This window comes from Homo sapiens, chromosome 8 (genome assembly GCF_000001405.40).
Source record: "Homo sapiens chromosome 8, GRCh38.p14 Primary Assembly".
NCBI classification, from domain to species: domain Eukaryota; kingdom Metazoa; phylum Chordata; class Mammalia; order Primates; family Hominidae; genus Homo; species Homo sapiens.
In genome coordinates this window covers 144,740,838-144,757,267 of record NC_000008.11, presented here as the reverse complement: position 1 = coordinate 144,757,267, position 16,430 = coordinate 144,740,838, and the positions used below count along the sequence as shown (strand labels likewise).

The window sequence follows — 16,430 nt, the reverse complement described above, 5'->3', positions numbered from 1 at the left end:
ATTCTGCAATCTTACAACTAGTAATGATGTATTTATTTTCAGCTTTTTATATACGTTTTTCAAGCACTTCCCAAGTATTTATAGAGTACTTACTATGTTCCAGGCTGGTGGCTGAGCAGTGAACAAACCAACCTAGGTCCTTATATCTGGAAACCTTAAGTTTGTGAACTTAAACACCCATATATACAATTGAGATCATATCATAAATATAATTTTGTATTCTATTTTTCACATTCTATTTCATAAGCATTACCCTCTGCCAATACTTTTTTTTCAAATACCACACATAATGGCTGCATAATGTTCAACTGAGTGTACAGAAGACAATAGATTTATCTATTTCTGTGCTGCAAAAAGCATAATTATCTTCCATTTCCCCTTCTATGAATAACTAGCTATTTTCCAAATTCTCCCCATTATTTAAAAAAAACCACACACACAACAAACTCTGGAATGGGCACCCTTCTCTTTGTCATTTTTGTTATTTCCATAGGATAGATTCCTAGATTAATTGAAGTGTTTAAGGCTCTTTATGTACAGCTTAATTCATTTTCAACATTGTACTAAACACGCTTCCTCAAGCATAGCAGTGCGTAATTCTCCACAATCTCCCCAGCACTGATATTAATAATGTAAGGCATCTTCTTAATCATGTGTGACTTTGCATGGTGCTTTAGACTTCTAGACATTCTCCATCCTCGTTGATCGTCTCAAGTTCAGATATAAAATTTCTGCCTTGATTCTAACACAGTGTACAGGGCCTACACTATATTCTGGGTGACAAGATGGCTTGGCTTTCCTTTCCTTCTCCCCCTGCTCCTAAGCTGGTCTCCTCACCTTTATCAAGTGCTATTTTTTCAACCATGCTTTATTGTGTAGGGGCCAAAGGGAAAGTTCCTCTTTGCCCTCTGAAGGTTCACTGAAAGCCAACTCATAAAAGGCAGATTTTTGGAGAAAAGGCAAATAAATGGATTATTTATTTATTTATTATTTATTTTTGAGATGGAGTCTCGCTCTGTCACCCAGGCTGGAGTGCAGTGGCGCGATCTCGGCTCACTGCAACCTCCGCCTCCCGGGTTCAAGCGATTCTCCCGCCTCAGCCTCCGGAGTAGCTGGGACTACAGACGCCCGCCACCACGCCCGGCCTTTACCGCCAGTTTTCACACAGAAAAGCGGGGGGAACATCAGAGTCGTGTTTTTAGGTTTTGTGGCTGGCTTTGGGGGTCTGGCCTCTGGGACTCGCCTTGGGTAAAAGGGATTCACTCTGTGAGGAGCCTCGCGGGAGAAAAGAACTGAGACTGGAGGCCTGGGAAGGTCAGAGGGAAACTGCCTCCCAGGCCTTCATTTTGGGGCGTTGTGTTCTGAGCCCCGATAATTGTAACATCTTCATAAGCGACTTTCTGGTGGTTATGGTGAATCGGGACACACGATGTATGGTGACCGACGGGGGAGCCGGGAGCCCAGCGGGGTTAGGGTTCAGGTGAGGGTTTAGGGTCGGGGCGAGCGCGGCGCGGCCCGGATGCGCAGCGTCACCGCGCCAGACCCTCCGCTCAGCTGCCGTGGGCTCTCCCCCTCCCCGACCATAGACGGCGCAGGCCTCCAGTCATCCCAGAGCGGCCCCGGAAGAATCCGGGCGGAACCGCGGCTGGCTTCCGGTTCCCGGCGTTCTCGGAGGCGTACTGAGGCCCCGCAGGGGGCGGGGAAGCCTGCGTGTGCGCAGCTCGGCCCGGCCCGCCCTCTTCATCCTAGCCCGCCCCCTCCCCGGCTCTGGACCCGGTTCTGTGGGAGGGTCCGTTCCGGGCTCGGTGCGACTGCGCAGCTCCTCGGCGCTTCCTCGGTGGCTTCCCCGGGTCGAGCAAACAGGTGGGGCAGTGTCGGACCAGGAAGGAGCGCCAAGCGGGCAGGCAGGCGGGGAGGGCGCGGGGAGGGCGCGGGGAGGCGGCGGCCAGTCCAGGAGGAGCCTGTTCTGGGTGCCGCGGGAGCCACCGACGGGCTGCAGAGGCCGGGAGGAGGCGACCGCGGCGCGGCCCTAGAAGGCTGGACTGAGGACCACAGCTGGCTTCCGGCCTCTCCCCGGAGCCTGGGGCCTTCGGCAGCATCCCCGCGGCCTCCTTCTCACGTCCTCAGCCTTGGTGAGGCTGCACCCTCACGTGGCTCTTTGCCCCAGGTTGGCCAGGCAGGTAGAACGGCCCTGCACCCCATTTCCAGGGCCTTCAGCAGGTCTGGACCACGGGAACTGCCAGCTTTCACCCCTTAGCCGGGCGTCCCTGGATCCCCCCGGGCTCTGGCTCTGGCCGTTCTGGGATTTCAGGAGTCACTGAGCAGTAGGGCACGTCGGCCCGTGCTGCATAGTGACCTGCCTCCCGCGACCCAGGAGGCCACAGCAGCAATCAGCTTCTGCCTCCTGGCCATCCTTCCACACCCCTGGTTGAATGGGGCTGAGCCTGAGTTCTCCCCACTGAAGGTAAGTTCGGGGAGACTTCAGGCCAGGGCAGTCTCCTGTCTTCTCTTGGAAACCACAGCAGCCCATGCACACAGAATGGCAGCCACATTCCAGCTTCCAGGGCACCAGGTGAGTTAACCCTCCTTCCTGCCCACCTCTTCATCTTCATCCCCATCCCAGTCAGAAGCTACTCTCCTCTGGAGCCGTGAGCCCGGCAACTGGTAAGGCCAGCCAGGGGCTCATAGCAACCGTGAGGAAAGGGTTCTGAGAGGTAGACTCGCCCTCCTGCAGGGAGAGGGGCTCTGAGCTCAGCTGGGTCCCCGTGTAGCTGAAGTTGGCTGGTCCTCAGCGCTCTCAGCTGCCCCATCAGGGACCTGCTGATACACAGTTCATACTGACCACAGCAGGGCCCTGGGTAGTGGGGCCCCACCAGGTCAGGGCCCTTTTAGTGCAGGCTGCTGCCCCGTGGGCATGGCCTGGGCAGCGGCGATGTTTTGTTGCAGGAGATGCCGCTGACCTTCCAGGATGTGGCCGTGTACTTCTCTCAGGCGGAGGGGCGGCAGCTGGGCCCCCAGCAGCGGGCGCTCTACCGGGATGTGATGCTGGAGAACTATGGGAACGTGGCCTCTCTGGGTGAGGCTCTCTGCACTTGGCCTGGTTCGCAGTGGGGGCCTCTGAGGAGCTTGGGAGGCTGCTTTGGCTCTTTGGATCCCAAAGAAGAGGGTCCTGCCCCTTGTCCCCGGGTATCAGTCTGATCTCTACAGAAGGAACATTTCCCATGGGAAAAGCCTGCCTTGCTCCCCAGTTCTAGGGACTTCACTCCCTGTTGCCAGTGGCCCCACTGGTGTCCCTCCAGTGGCAGGAGAGCTGATGAGTGGATTCTCCTTCAGTACTTAGTCTCAGCCCACGGGCCCCCTGACCAACACACGTGCAGGCGTACACACGTGCACACAGGGCCCATCTCTCCACACCTGGCCTGGAAGGCCCAGTGGGCCATGCCAGCTCACCAGTGTCCTCATCCTCAACAGGATTCCCTGTCCCTAAGCCGGAGTTGATCTCCCAGCTGGAGCAGGGGAAGGAACTTTGGGTCCTGAATCTTCTGGGAGCTGAGGAACCAGATATCTTGAAAAGCTGCCAGAAAGGTGAGAATGGATGGGATGCTAATCCTGGGAGCAGCCTCCCAATCCTGCCTTAAGAGGCTCCAAGCGAGGGACAGCTGGGGCATGGCGTTCATATTAATGGCCTCCCCCAGGGGCAGTCTCACAGATACAGCCCCTCTACAAATGTGAGCATGTGCACATGCTTTAGAAGTTTTATCTTGCTGGTCTGTTTCTTTGCTTTAAAAATATATATATACTACTTCTGATCATATTTTTGTTTTGGTGATTTACCTTGATAACAACTTCATTCCCTTCTTTATAATACACTTATTTCCTTTTGACAATAGATATCGGTACCCTACCATGTCCTTTTTATTCTTCACTCCATTCTCTCCTTCATTTGCCAAGTTTAGTCAGTAGTAGTCTTTTTTTTTTTTTTTTTTTTTTTTTCGAGACAGAATCTCACTCTGTCACCAGGCTGGAGTGCAGTGGCACGATCTCGGCTCACTGCAACCTCCACGTACCAGGCTCAGGCAATCCTCCCACCTCAGCTTTCCAAGTAGCTAGGACTACAGGCACATGTCACCATACCTGGCTAGTTTTTTTTTTATTTTTGTTGAGACAAGGTTTCACCACGTTGCCCAAACTGGTCTTAAATTCTTGAGATCAAGTGATCCATGTCGACCTCCCAAAGTGCTGAGATTACAAGCATGAGCCACTGCACCTGACCAGTGGCTTTTTTTAATGTTTACCTTTGTTCTATTGAATATACATCTACTACTTGATATGTCAGCTGTAAGTATTATCTTTGACTGCCAGCTACTGAGACAGTCAACAAGCTTGTTCTACTTTTCTCCCTTTTCCTCCTCATTCCTTTCCCAGTTTTTGTTGGTTATATTGTTTCTACACTGTCAGAACATATAACACTTTACAACTCATATCCGCAGCTTTGTTACTGGCTTATATCTCCAGTTAAGTATGTTATTAATAATTGTTTATCTCTGGTCCTTTTACCAAAAATTTCCCCATCTCTTGGTTGGCTGGAGCTTGTCTTCTAGTTTATTCAGAAAGGCTCGTGAAAAATATACCCCATATTTGTGCACATTCAAAATTGGTTGAATAAAGCATTTGGTTTCTACATGTAAGAGCTAAGATTGTAAAATTATATCGTTTTCTCAAAGTGCAGCTTAAGTTGCATCTCACAAAATTTTAATATGTTGTATTTTCATTAACATTTAGTTCAAAATGTTATCTAGTTTTTCTTGTGACTTCTTCTTTGACCCAATGATTATTTGGACATGCATTAATTTCCAGATAGTTGGTGTTTTCCTAGTTATCTTATTGTTATTGTCATTTAATTCCACTGTGGTCAGAGAACATACTCTGTATTATTTCATTCCTTTCATATTTGTTGCTTCTTGTTTTATGACCCCAAATGTGGTCTCTCCCAGTACAAATACCACGTGCACTGAAAAAGAATGTGTATTCTGCCATTTGGGGGTTAGATAAATATCAGTTAAGTCAAGGTGGTTGATGGTATTGTTCAGGTCTTCTGTATCCTTGCTGATTTTTTTTTTTTTTTTTTTTTTGGTCTAGTTATTCTTTCAGTTGCTGAGAGAGGGGTGTTAAAATACAGAAGTATGATTGTGGAATTGTCTTTTCTTCACTTTAATTTTTGTAGTGTTGGCTTCATGTATCTTGAAGCTGTATTATAAGACTTACTTCACTTATGACTATCATTATGAGAGATAAGAGAATTCCTGTTTGTCTCTGGTAATACATTTTGTTTTGAAATATATTTTATCTAATATTAATGTAGCAATTCCATCCTTCTTATACTTACTGTTAGCATAGTATATCTTCTTTCATCCATTTAATTTCAACCTGTCTTTACACTTAAAGTGAATCTCTTGCAGATATCATACAATTGGGTCTTGTTTCTTCATCCTAACAATCTTTGTCTTTTAATTGTAGTGTTTAGTCTGTTAATGTTTAATGTAATTGTTTATATGGTTCAGGAATGCACTTGTGCATAATATTTTATTTTTTACTTACATTTACCTCTTCTGTTTTTTAAATTCCTCTTTCCGGCCTTTATTTGGGTTATTTGAATACTTTTTATAACTCCATTTAAATTTTATTATTTGCTTTTTACATAATCTTTTTGCATTATTTTTTACAGTGATTTTCCTAAGGTTTACAGTATACATAAGTTTCCACAGTTTACTTACAGTTCATTTGTGTACTACTTCACATAAATCCAGAAATCTTGTAACCATCCCTCCCATCCTTTTTGTTATAGTTGTTATGTGTAATACATCTACATAACATTTTAAACTCAGAAAGACAATGTGATAATTTCAGTTTTAAACAGTTATATAGTTTATAAAAAAGGAAAAGGAAAAAGGCCAAATAAATAGTATTTTAGCTGTTTCTGACATGTAAGGACTTTAGAAGTCATCACTGTGTCCTAACAAGTAAAAAGCTGAACAAACTGAAAAATCAACAAATCTTAGCTCCATCAGAGAGGTGTGAGGTCAGAGGACAAATCACTGCTCTCAAAATTGGAGAGGTATGGCCGGGTGCGGTGGCTCACACCTGTAATCCCAGCACTTTGGGAGGCCGAGGCAGGTGGATCAGTTGAGGCCAGGAGTTCAAGACCAGCCTGGCCAACATGGTGAAACCCTGTCTCTATTAAAAACACAAAATTAGCTGGGCGTGGTGGTGGGTTCCTGTAATCCCAGCTACTCGGGAGGCTGAGGCAGGAGAATCGCTGAAACTCAGGAGGTAAAGGTTGCAGTGAGCCAAGATTGCACTACTGCACTCCAGCCTGAGTGACAGAGCGAGACTCTAAAAAAAAAAAAAGAAAAAAAAAAAACTCTGGAGAGATAAACAGGCAGATACAAAGAATCACAACCACATCTTGTGAGCAATAATCTCCCAGGGAACCGGTGGCCAGATGGGTAAGCCTAAAATGTAACTGGCAAATTGCTAGAGGCTCAGTGTGGACAACTCTGAAAAAAAACTCCAGGGGGACCCGGTCATGGGAGGACCCCATACTTTTGTGAGCTTTACCTCCAGGAGCTCTATTAGGTACTGACAGTGAATATCAGAGAAAAATCTCCTTGTGCTTCTGGCAGGAGGAAGTGAAAAGGGACCACTTTGGAATATACCATTCTGTTCTTAACAAGACCTGCCCTCAGGAGAAACAATTTTACCAGGGCCTAACCTGCTGGTGTTTTTATCAGAACTTAACCTTCCTGGGGGAAGGGAAATACCTAACACTAGCTACTTCTGGATATTCTGTCCCACCTAATGGCAGGTGGGGGAAGCTGAAAAGCACTTGGGAAGTTCATAGTCCAGGGACACAAGCTCAGCAAGACTGAGCCCTGCTCATAGTATCATAGAACACTTTCCCACCCCAACACCTGAAAACAGGATGAAAGCCCTGTTTACTGCAATTCCTTTTACCCAGTGTATCATGTCTACCTATCAACAGAAAATTACAAAGCATACTTAAAAGGCAGAAAATGCAGTTTGAAGAGACTGAACAAGCATTAGAACCAGAGTCAGTCGTGGCAGGAGTGTTGGAGTAATCAGACCAGGTATTTTTTTAAAACTATGATTAACGTGCTGAGGGCTTTAAGGGAAAAAGTAGACAGTATGCAAAAACAGATTGATAATGTAAGCAAAAGAGATTAAAATTTTAAGAAGCTGGATGTGGTGGCACATACCTGTATTTGCAACTCCTCATAGTGTAGCAGGATTGCTTGAGCCCAGGAGTTCAAGGCCAGCCTAGGCAGCATAGCGAGATCATCTTTCTTAAAAAAAAAAAAAAAAGAAAAAAAAGAAAAGAAAAAGAAATTTTAAGAATTTTTTAAATACTAGAGACCAAAAACACCATAACCGAAAGGAACAGTGCCTTTGACAGGCTCGTTAGTGGATGGTACACGGCCTCCAAGAGATTGTTATTTGAAAGTGGACTTGTATTAGCTGTAAATGCAGATTGCAAACCAATTTAAAAAGTTAAAAAAGAAGTATAGTTGATATGCTAAAAAAGGATACAAAATGGAATTACATATAATAGAATGCTCAGGTAAACCCACAAAAGGTAGAAGAGTATGGAAAACAGAAATAGGAATGAAGAACAAGGGCAAAAAGTAGAAAATGGTAACAAATGTGGTAGATGTTAATTCAGCAACATCAGTAATCACCTTTTTAAATTTTTTTTTTATTTTTTTGAGACAGTCTCACTCTGTCCCCCAGGGTGGAGTGCAGTGGCACAGTCCCAGTCTATTGAAAGCTTTGACCTCCCAGGCTCGAGTGATCCTCCCACCACAGCCTCCCAAGTAGCTGGGACTACAGGCATGTACTACCACACCTGGCTGATTTTTGTGTTTTGTACAGACAGGGTTTCACCATATTGTCCAGGCTGGTCTTGACCTCCTGGTCTCAAGACATCCACCCACCTTGGCCTCCCAAAGTGCTGGGATTACAGGAATGAGCCACTGTACCCAGCCAATAATCCCCTTTTTAAAAAGTTATTTATTTATATTTTTAGAGATGGGGTCTCACTCTATTGCTCAGACTAGAGTGCAGTAGCTTGATCATGACTCATGGCAGCCTTGACCCCCTGGGCTCAAGCGATCCTCCCACATCAGCATCCCGGGCAGCTGGGACTACAGGTGCATGTCACCACATCCAGCTCTTTTTTTATTTTTGTAGAGATCAGGTCTCACTATTTTGCCCAGGTTGGTCTCAAACTCTTGAGCCTCAAGCAGTCCTCCTGCTTTGGCCTCCTAAAGCACTGGTATTACAGGCCACAGTGCCTGGCCCCAACTGTGTTTTCTATAAGGAACCTGCTTCGGCCAGGAGTGATGGCTCCTGTAATTCCAGCACTTTGGGAGGCCGAGGTGGGAGGATCCCTTGAGCCTGGGAGTTTGAGACCAGCCTAAACAACATAGTGAGAAATCATCTCATCAAAAAGTTAAAAAAATTAGCTTGGTGTGGTGTTGTGTACCTATAAGTCTCAGCTACTCAAGAGGCTGATGTGGTAGGATCGCTTGAGCCCAGGAAGTTGAGGTTGTAGTGAGCTGTGATTGCACCACTGCTCTGCAGCCTGGGCAACAGAGCAAGACCCCATTGCAAAGAAAAAAGAAACCTGCTGTCTCATGACAAGATCTTGCCATGAACAAAAAAAAAGAAAAGAAGCCCACTTTAAACATAAAAACACAAAAGGGATGGAGAAAGATAGTAATCCAAAGAAAGCGGAAATATCTTACTACTTTAGACACAAAACATAACAGATCTTGAGGTGTATGGGCCTAACAACAGCATCAAAATATGTGAGGTTGGCCAGGCACAGTGGCTAACACCTGTAATCCCAGCACTGGGAGGCCGAGGCGGGCAGATAACTTGAGGTCAGGAGTTCAAGACTAGCCTGGCCAACATGATGAAACCCCATCTCTACTAAAAACACAAAAATTAGCCAGGCATGGTGGAGTGCACCTGTAATCCCCCCTACTCAAGAGACTAAGACAGGAGAATCACTTGAACCTGGGAGATGGAGGTTGCAGTGAGCCAAGATTGCACCATTGCACTGCAGCCTGGGCGACAGAGTGAGACTCCATCTCAAAAAAAAAAAGTGAGGTTGTCAAGTGTGGTAGTCATGCCTGTAATCCCAGCACTCTGGAAGGCCAGGAAGGGCAGATCGCTTGAGCCCAGGACATTGAAGCTGCGGTGAGCTATGATCACGTCACTGCGCTCCAGGCTGGGCAACTGAGTGAGACACTATCTCTAAAAACCACAAAACCAGCTGGACACGGTGGCTCACGCCTGTAATCCCAGCACTTTGGGAGGCCGAGGCGGGTGGATCACCTGAGGTCAGGAGTTCGAGACCAGCCTGACCAACATGGAGAAACCCCATCTCTACTAAAAATACAAAATTAGCCGGGCGTGGTGGCTCATGCCTGTAATCTCAGCTACTCGGGAGGCTGAGGCAGGAGAATTGCTTGAACCCAGGAGGCAGAGGTTGCAGTCAGCCGAGATTCGCGCCATCGCACTCCAGCCTGGGCAACAGAGCGAGACTCCGTCTCAAAAAACAACAACAACAAAATATGTGATGCGAAAACTGATAGAACTACAAGGGGAAATAGATGAGTTCACTGTCTGCAGTTGGAGATCCAGCACCCTCTATCGTAAATGGACAGATCCAGCAGGATGCAGTTGAGTTTAACAGCACCATCACATCAGTCAGCTGGGAATAATTTACATCTGTAGACTGCTTCATCCAACGATAGCAGAATGCACATTCCTGCCAAGCTCATGTGGAACATTCACTAAGATAGACCACATTCTGGGCCACAAAACACTTTAACATACTTGAAGAATAGAAAACATAGAATGTCTATTCTCAGACCACAATGACATGAAACTAGAAATGAAACCAGAAAGATAGCTAGAAAATCCTAAAGTACTTGGCAAATAACACACTTCCAAATAACACGAGTCAAAGAAGATATCTCAAGATAAATTTTAGAATATTTTGAATTAAGTGAAAATGAAAATAAAACTTACCAAAATTTGTGGAATGCTGTGAATGCAGTGCTTAGAGGGAAATTTATAGCATTGACTGCATGTATTAGAAAATGGGAAAGATCTAAAATCATAATGTAAGCTTTCACTCTAGGAAACTAGAAAAAGAAGAGCAAATTAAATACAAAGTAAGCAGAAGAAAAGAAATAAAAATTCAAGCAGAAATCAATGAAATGGAAAACAGGAAATCAATAGAGAAAATCAACGAAACCAGAAGATGGTTTGAAAAAACAATAAAATCAGTAAACCTTTAGCCAGACTAAGACAAAGAAGAGAGAGGACACAAAATACTAATATCAAATGAAAGAGGGAACATCACTACAGAGATGTCCCACAGACTTTTAAAGGGTAATAAAAAAAAAAAGATGAACAACTCTGTGCCCAAATTTGATAAATGAACCAATTCCTTGAAGTACACAATCTCCCAAACACGGGAAGAAATAGACAATCTGAATAGGGCTATGTCTGTTAAATAAGTCAAATCAACAATTACCTTCCAAAATAGAATCCACTGGGCTCAGATGGGTTCACTTATGACTTCTACCAAACATTTAAGGAAGAAATTATACCAGTTCTCTATAATCTCTTCCAGAAAATAAAAACAGAGGGAATACTTCCTAACTCATATGAGGTCAGTGTTATCCACCCAAATGCCAAAACCAAACAGACATTACAAGAAAAGGAAACTACAGACAGACACCTCTTATGAACATAAATGCAAAAATCCCAACAAAATATTAGCAAATCAAATCCAACAATGTATAAAAAGAATTATATACCATGACCAAGTGGGATTTGTCCCAGGTTTACAAGGCTGGTCCAACATTAGGAAATAAATTAATGTAATGTGATGTACCACATCAACAGGCTGAAGAAAGATCATGTGGTCATATCAGTAGATGCGGAGAAAGCATTTGACAAAATCCAACCTCGATTCATGATTACAAATTCAACAAACTAGGAATAGAGAGGAACTTCCTCAAGTTGATAGAGAGCATCTACAGAAAATCTACATTTTCCTTTATACTGGCAACGAAGAAGTGGAATTTGAAGTTAAAAACACATTATTTACATTAGCACCACTAAAGATAAAATACTGAGGTGTAAGTCTAACAAAATATGTACAAAATCTGTGAGGAAAAATACAAGACTGATAAAAATATATCAAAGAAGAGCTAAATAAATGAAGAGATAGTCTGTTCATGAGGAAAACTCAGTATTATCATGATGTCAGTCCTCTGCTTGATTTACAGATTCAACACAATCTCAATCACAGTCTCAGGGGCTAAGTGTGGTGGTTTATGCCTATAATCCAGCACTTTGGGAGGCTAAGGCAGGAGGATCGCTTAAGCCCAGGAGTTTAAGACCAGCCTAGGCAACATAGTGAGACCCCATATCTACAAAAAAATTTTTTTTGTTAGCTAGGCCTGGTGGCATGTGCCTATATTCCCAGCTATTTGGGAGGCTGAGGTGGGAGGACTGCTTGAGCCTAGGAGTCTGAGGTTTCAGTAAGTTATGATCATGCCACTGTATTCCAGCCTGGCTGACAGAGCAAGACCCTGTCTCTAAAAAACGAAAAAAACTCAGCAGGTTATTCTGTGGATATTAGCAAACTGATTGTAATGTTTATAAGGAGAGGTAAAAGACCCAGAATAGTCAACTCAATATTGAAAGAGAAGAGCAAGGTTGGAGGACCCATAGTACCCAATTTCAGTACTTTTACTATAAAGCCACAGTAATCAAGGCAGTGTGGTATTGGTCAAAAAACAGAAAAAATAGATCAATGAAACAGAACAGAGAGCCCAGATAAAAACCTGCATAAACATATGCAACTGATCTTTGACAAGGGAACAAACACACCTCAATGTAGAAAGGATGATCTTTTCAAGAAATGGTGCTGGAATAACTGAACATCCACGTGCCAAAAAAAAAAAAAAAAAAAGAATCTAGACACCCATCACAAAAAATTAACTTAAAATGTGTCTTATTCTGCTCAGACTTAAAACCACAAGCTGAGTGCTTAAAACAGTAACTTTCCTCCGCTCCCCTTCCCCTCCCGCTCCCCGTCCCCCTCCATATGGAGTCTCGTTCTGGTCACCCAGGCTGGGGTGCTGTAGCACAATCTCTGCTCACTGCAACCTCCACCTCCTGGGTTCAAGTGATTCTCCTGCCTCAGCCTCCCTAGTAGCTGGGATTACAGGCGCCCGCCACCACGCCCAGCTGGTTTTTGTACTTTTAGTAGAGATGGGGTTTTGCCATGTTGGCCATGCTGGTCTCGAACTGCTGACCTCAGGTGATCCGCCCGCCTCGGCTTCCCAAAGTGCTGGGATTACAGACATGAGCCACTGCGCCCGGCCTTATTTTCTTACAGTTCTGGAGGCTACACGTCCGAGATCAGTGTGTTAGCATGGTTAGTTTCTGGTGAGGGGTCTCTTTCTAGGTTACAGATGACTGCCTTCTCACTGTGTCCTCACATGGTGGAGAGAGAAAGTGCAAGTTCTCTGGTATCTCTTCTTATAAGAGCACTAATTCTGCCATGACGACCCTCATGACCTCATCTAACTCGAATGACCTCTCAAAGACCCCATCTCCAAACGTCATCACATTGAGGCTTCAACATGTGAATTTGGGGTGAGCAGGACACATTTCATTCCATGGCAAAATGGATCATACATCTAAATGTAAACCACAAAACTGTGAAACTTCTAGATGATAATATAGGAAAAAAAGAGGTGACCTTGGTTTGACAATGAGTTTTTAGGTACAACACCAAAGGCACAATCCATGGAAGAAACAATTGACAAGCTGGACTTCATTAAAATGAAAAACTTCTGCTCTGTAAAAGACGGCATCAACTTTGGGAGGCCGAGGCAGGCAGATCACCCGAGGTCAGGAGTTCGAGACCAGCCTGGCCAACATGGTGAAACCCCATCTCTACTAAAAATACAAAAACCAGCTGGGTGTGTGGTGGCACCTGTAATTCCAGCTACTCCAGAGGCTGAGGCAGGAGAATCGCCTGAACCCGGGAGGCAGAGGTTGCAGTGAGCCGAGACTGAGCCACTGCACTCCAGCCTGGGTGACAGAGTGAGACTCCATCTCCAAAAAAAAAAAAAAAAAAAAAGACAACGAGAGAATGAGAAACAGTCCATAGATTGGGAGAAGATATTTGTAAAAGGCACATATAAATGACCATTATCCAAAATACACAAAAAACTCAGTAAGAAAATGAACAGCCCATTTTAAAAAATGGGCGAAAGGCCTGAATAGGCTCCGAATGGAAGGAGATACCCAGATGACAGGTGGGCATTGTGAGAAGATCAATGTCATATCTCTAAGGAACTGCACATTAAAACAGTGAGATTCCACTGCACACCTATTAGAATGGCCAAAATCCACACCACTGATAACCCCCAGTGCTGGCCAAGATGTGGAACAGGAACTCTGATTCATTGCAGGTGGGGATGCAAAACGGTGGTCACTCTGGAAGACAGTTCGACAGTCTTACAAAACTAAACATACCTTTACCATGTGATCCAGCAGTTTTGTCCCTTTGTATTTACCCAAATGAATTGAAAATTTATGTCCACACAAAATCCTGCACACAGATATTTACGGCAGCCTTATTCATAATTACCAAACCTTATTCATAATTTCATAATTACCAAAAGTCGGAAGCAACTGAGACGTTCCTCAGTAGATAAGCGGGTAAATAAACCAGTGGCACATCCAGAGAATGGGATCATATTCAGGGCTAAAAGGAAATGATTGGCCGGGCACGGTGCTTCATGCCTGTAACCCCAGCACTTTGGGAGGCCAAGGCGGGTGGATCACTTGAGGTCAGCAGTTCGAGACGAGCCTGGCCAACATGATGAAACTCTGTCTCTACTAAAAATACAAAAATCAGCCAGGCATGGTGGTTGGTGCCTGTAATCCCAGCTACTCAGGAGGCTGAGGCAGGAGAATCACTTGAACCCGGGAGGCGGAGTTTGCAGTGAGCCCAGATGGTGCCACTGCACTCCAGCCTGGGCGAAACAGTGAAACTGCGTCTCAAAAATAAAATAAATAAAAATAAATGAGCTACGAAGCTATGAAAAGACATAGAGGAACCTTAAGTGCACATTACCAAGTGAAAGCAGTTAGTCTGAAAAGATGATACAGTTGGCCTTTGAACAACATGGGTTTGAACTTCCCAGGTCCACTTATATGTGGATTTTTTTCAACCAAACACATGTGAAACCCATGTCCAGAGGGCTGGCTTCATATAAGTGGATTCTGAAAGGCCAGCTGTGGAACTTGAGTATGCATGGATTTGGGTATACGTGGGGGTCTCGGACCCAATCCCCTTTGTTTACCAACGGACACCTATACTGTATGATTCCAACTATGTGACATTCTGGATGAGGCAACACTATAGAGACAGCAAAAAGATCAGCAGTGCCAAGGAGTAGAGAAGCAGGGTGAAGCCAGAGGATTTTTAGGGCGGTGACACTAGTCTGTACAGTACTGCAGTGGTGGATGCAAAACCCATAGATCACGCGGCACCACGAGTGAGCCCTAAACTGAGATTTTAGATGGTCATGATGTGTCAGTGTGGGTTCATTCATTGTGACGCTGTTATCACTGTTGCGGGAGGTAAGTAGTGGGGGAGGTGTGTGGGGGGTGGGGTATGCAGGAACTGTGTTTTCTGCTTAATATTGCTGTGAAATGCTCTAAAAATAAAGTATTTTCAAAAAAATCTCATGTTTCCCCAGATTTTCCATCTCTAGTGCTCTTCATCCCTTTCTGATGATCTGAGTTTCTAGCTGGCACCATTTCCCTTCAGCCCAAAGACCTTTGCATTTCTCGTGGTGCGAGTCTGCTGCCCCAGTTCTTAGTTTTCTCGTGTATGAAAGTACCTTTATTTTGCTTTTTTTTTTCCTTTTCCCATTCAGCACTTTAAAGCTGCTATTTTACTCTTTTCTGGCCTCCTTGACTTTCGATGAGGAGTCAGCCATTCATGGGATCACTGGCTCGTGGTGTGTCGTGGGTCACTCTCCTGCTTTTGAGGTGAGCTGCCTGTCGTTTCGGTTCCCAGCAGGTGGACTCTGATGTACTGCAGCACCGGCCTCTTGGTTTTTACTCTGCTAGGTGTTCATATAGCATCTTGATCCTGTAGATTTCTGTCTTTCATCAAATTTGGGAAATTTTTGACCATTATTTCTTCACATTTCTTTCTGTACCATTCTCTCTCTGGTCTCCTGAGATACCAATTATAAGTGACCATTTGAATTATCTAACAGATTTGTAAGGCTGTTTATTATTTTTAAAATATTTTTATCTGTATTCTTCAGATAATTTCTGTTCATCTCGATTCAAGTTGACTTACTCTTTCCTTTATTGTGCCCATTCAGCTGTTAGTCTGTCAAGTAATGCTTTATTTCAGAGATTGTGTTCTTCAGTTCCAGAATGACTGTTTTATTCCTTTTTATTATTTCTGTGTCTCTGCTGAGAGTTTTCACTCCCTGAGATTTTCCTGTTTTGTTTTACTTCACTGAGGATAATTATAATTCCTGTTTTTAAATCCTTGTCTGTTAGTTTCAACATCTGACTCATTTCAGGGTCAGATGGTTGATTTCCTTTTCTCACAAAAACGTGCTCTATTTTCTTGGTTCTTTATGTGTTTGTTAATTTTGGAGTGGAGACTGTGGATTCTGTATGTATGGGTGTATGTGTATCTGCATCGTGTGTATGTACATGTTTACGCATGTGAGTGTGTGTGAGTGTGTGTATGAGTGTGTGTGTACATCTGTGCAGCTGGTCACCAGCATGTACCTTCACAAGTTAGATTTTGCTGGCATATCCACGAGCTGTCACCACTGTGCCCTGGGCACTGAGCTTTCTGAGGCTTGTGTGTTGGCCTGTCCCAGGGCTCTGCCATCGTCAGTATTGGCCCCACTCACAGATGTTCTTTCCTGGGTTGGGCCAGCTCCTTTTGGACACTTTTGAGATCCACCTCGGGCCCGTCTGCGTTTGCGATGCTGCTTTTCTGTGGCTCCTTCCGGCTACTGGGACTGTTCCCTTCTGGCATTGCCTTCGGCAGCACTTCGAGGAACTCAGCCTCCAGGGCCTCCTGTTGTCCTTGAAAATGCAGTTTTATTTCATTATTTTTATTTATTTATTTTTGGGGGTTTTTTTTTGTTTCTTTTTTTTTGTTTTTTGAGACGGAGTTTCGCTCTTCTTGCCCAGGCCGGAGTGCGATGGCGCCATCTCAGCTCATCACAACCTGCGCCTCCCAGGTTCAAGTGATTCTCCTG

General features: G+C 44.6%; 1 protein-coding gene and 1 long non-coding RNA gene across 8 annotated transcripts in view; one reads left to right on the top strand and one right to left on the bottom strand.

Moving 5' to 3' along the window:
- The window catches only part of LOC107986986 (uncharacterized), a 29,711-nt gene that overhangs the window by 8,240 nt on the left and 5,041 nt on the right, over positions 1-16,430 (bottom strand). Inside the window, exon 2 of one of the 2 annotated variants that reach the window (XR_001746149.3) lies at positions 7,278-7,364. This is a non-coding gene — a long non-coding RNA (uncharacterized LOC107986986). The remainder of the gene's footprint in view (positions 1-7,277; positions 7,365-16,430) is intronic. The other variant, XR_001746150.3, reaches the window with a different exon arrangement.
- ZNF251 (zinc finger protein 251) overlaps positions 1,737-16,430 on the top strand; it is a 34,623-nt gene continuing 19,929 nt past the window's right edge. For 2 of the 6 annotated variants that reach the window (NM_138367.2, XM_005272356.5), the window contains exons 1-4: positions 1,737-1,863; positions 2,465-2,572; positions 2,947-3,076; positions 3,472-3,585. In NM_138367.2, coding sequence (NP_612376.1) covers positions 2,540-2,572; positions 2,947-3,076; positions 3,472-3,585 — 277 coding nt within the window. In that variant the 5' untranslated portion in view covers positions 1,737-1,863; positions 2,465-2,539. Of the gene's footprint in view, positions 1,864-1,891; positions 2,573-2,946; positions 3,077-3,471; positions 3,586-5,139; positions 5,358-16,430 lie in introns of those variants that run through there. The other 4 variants (XM_047422403.1, XM_047422404.1, XM_011517361.3 and 1 more) reach the window with 3 other exon arrangements.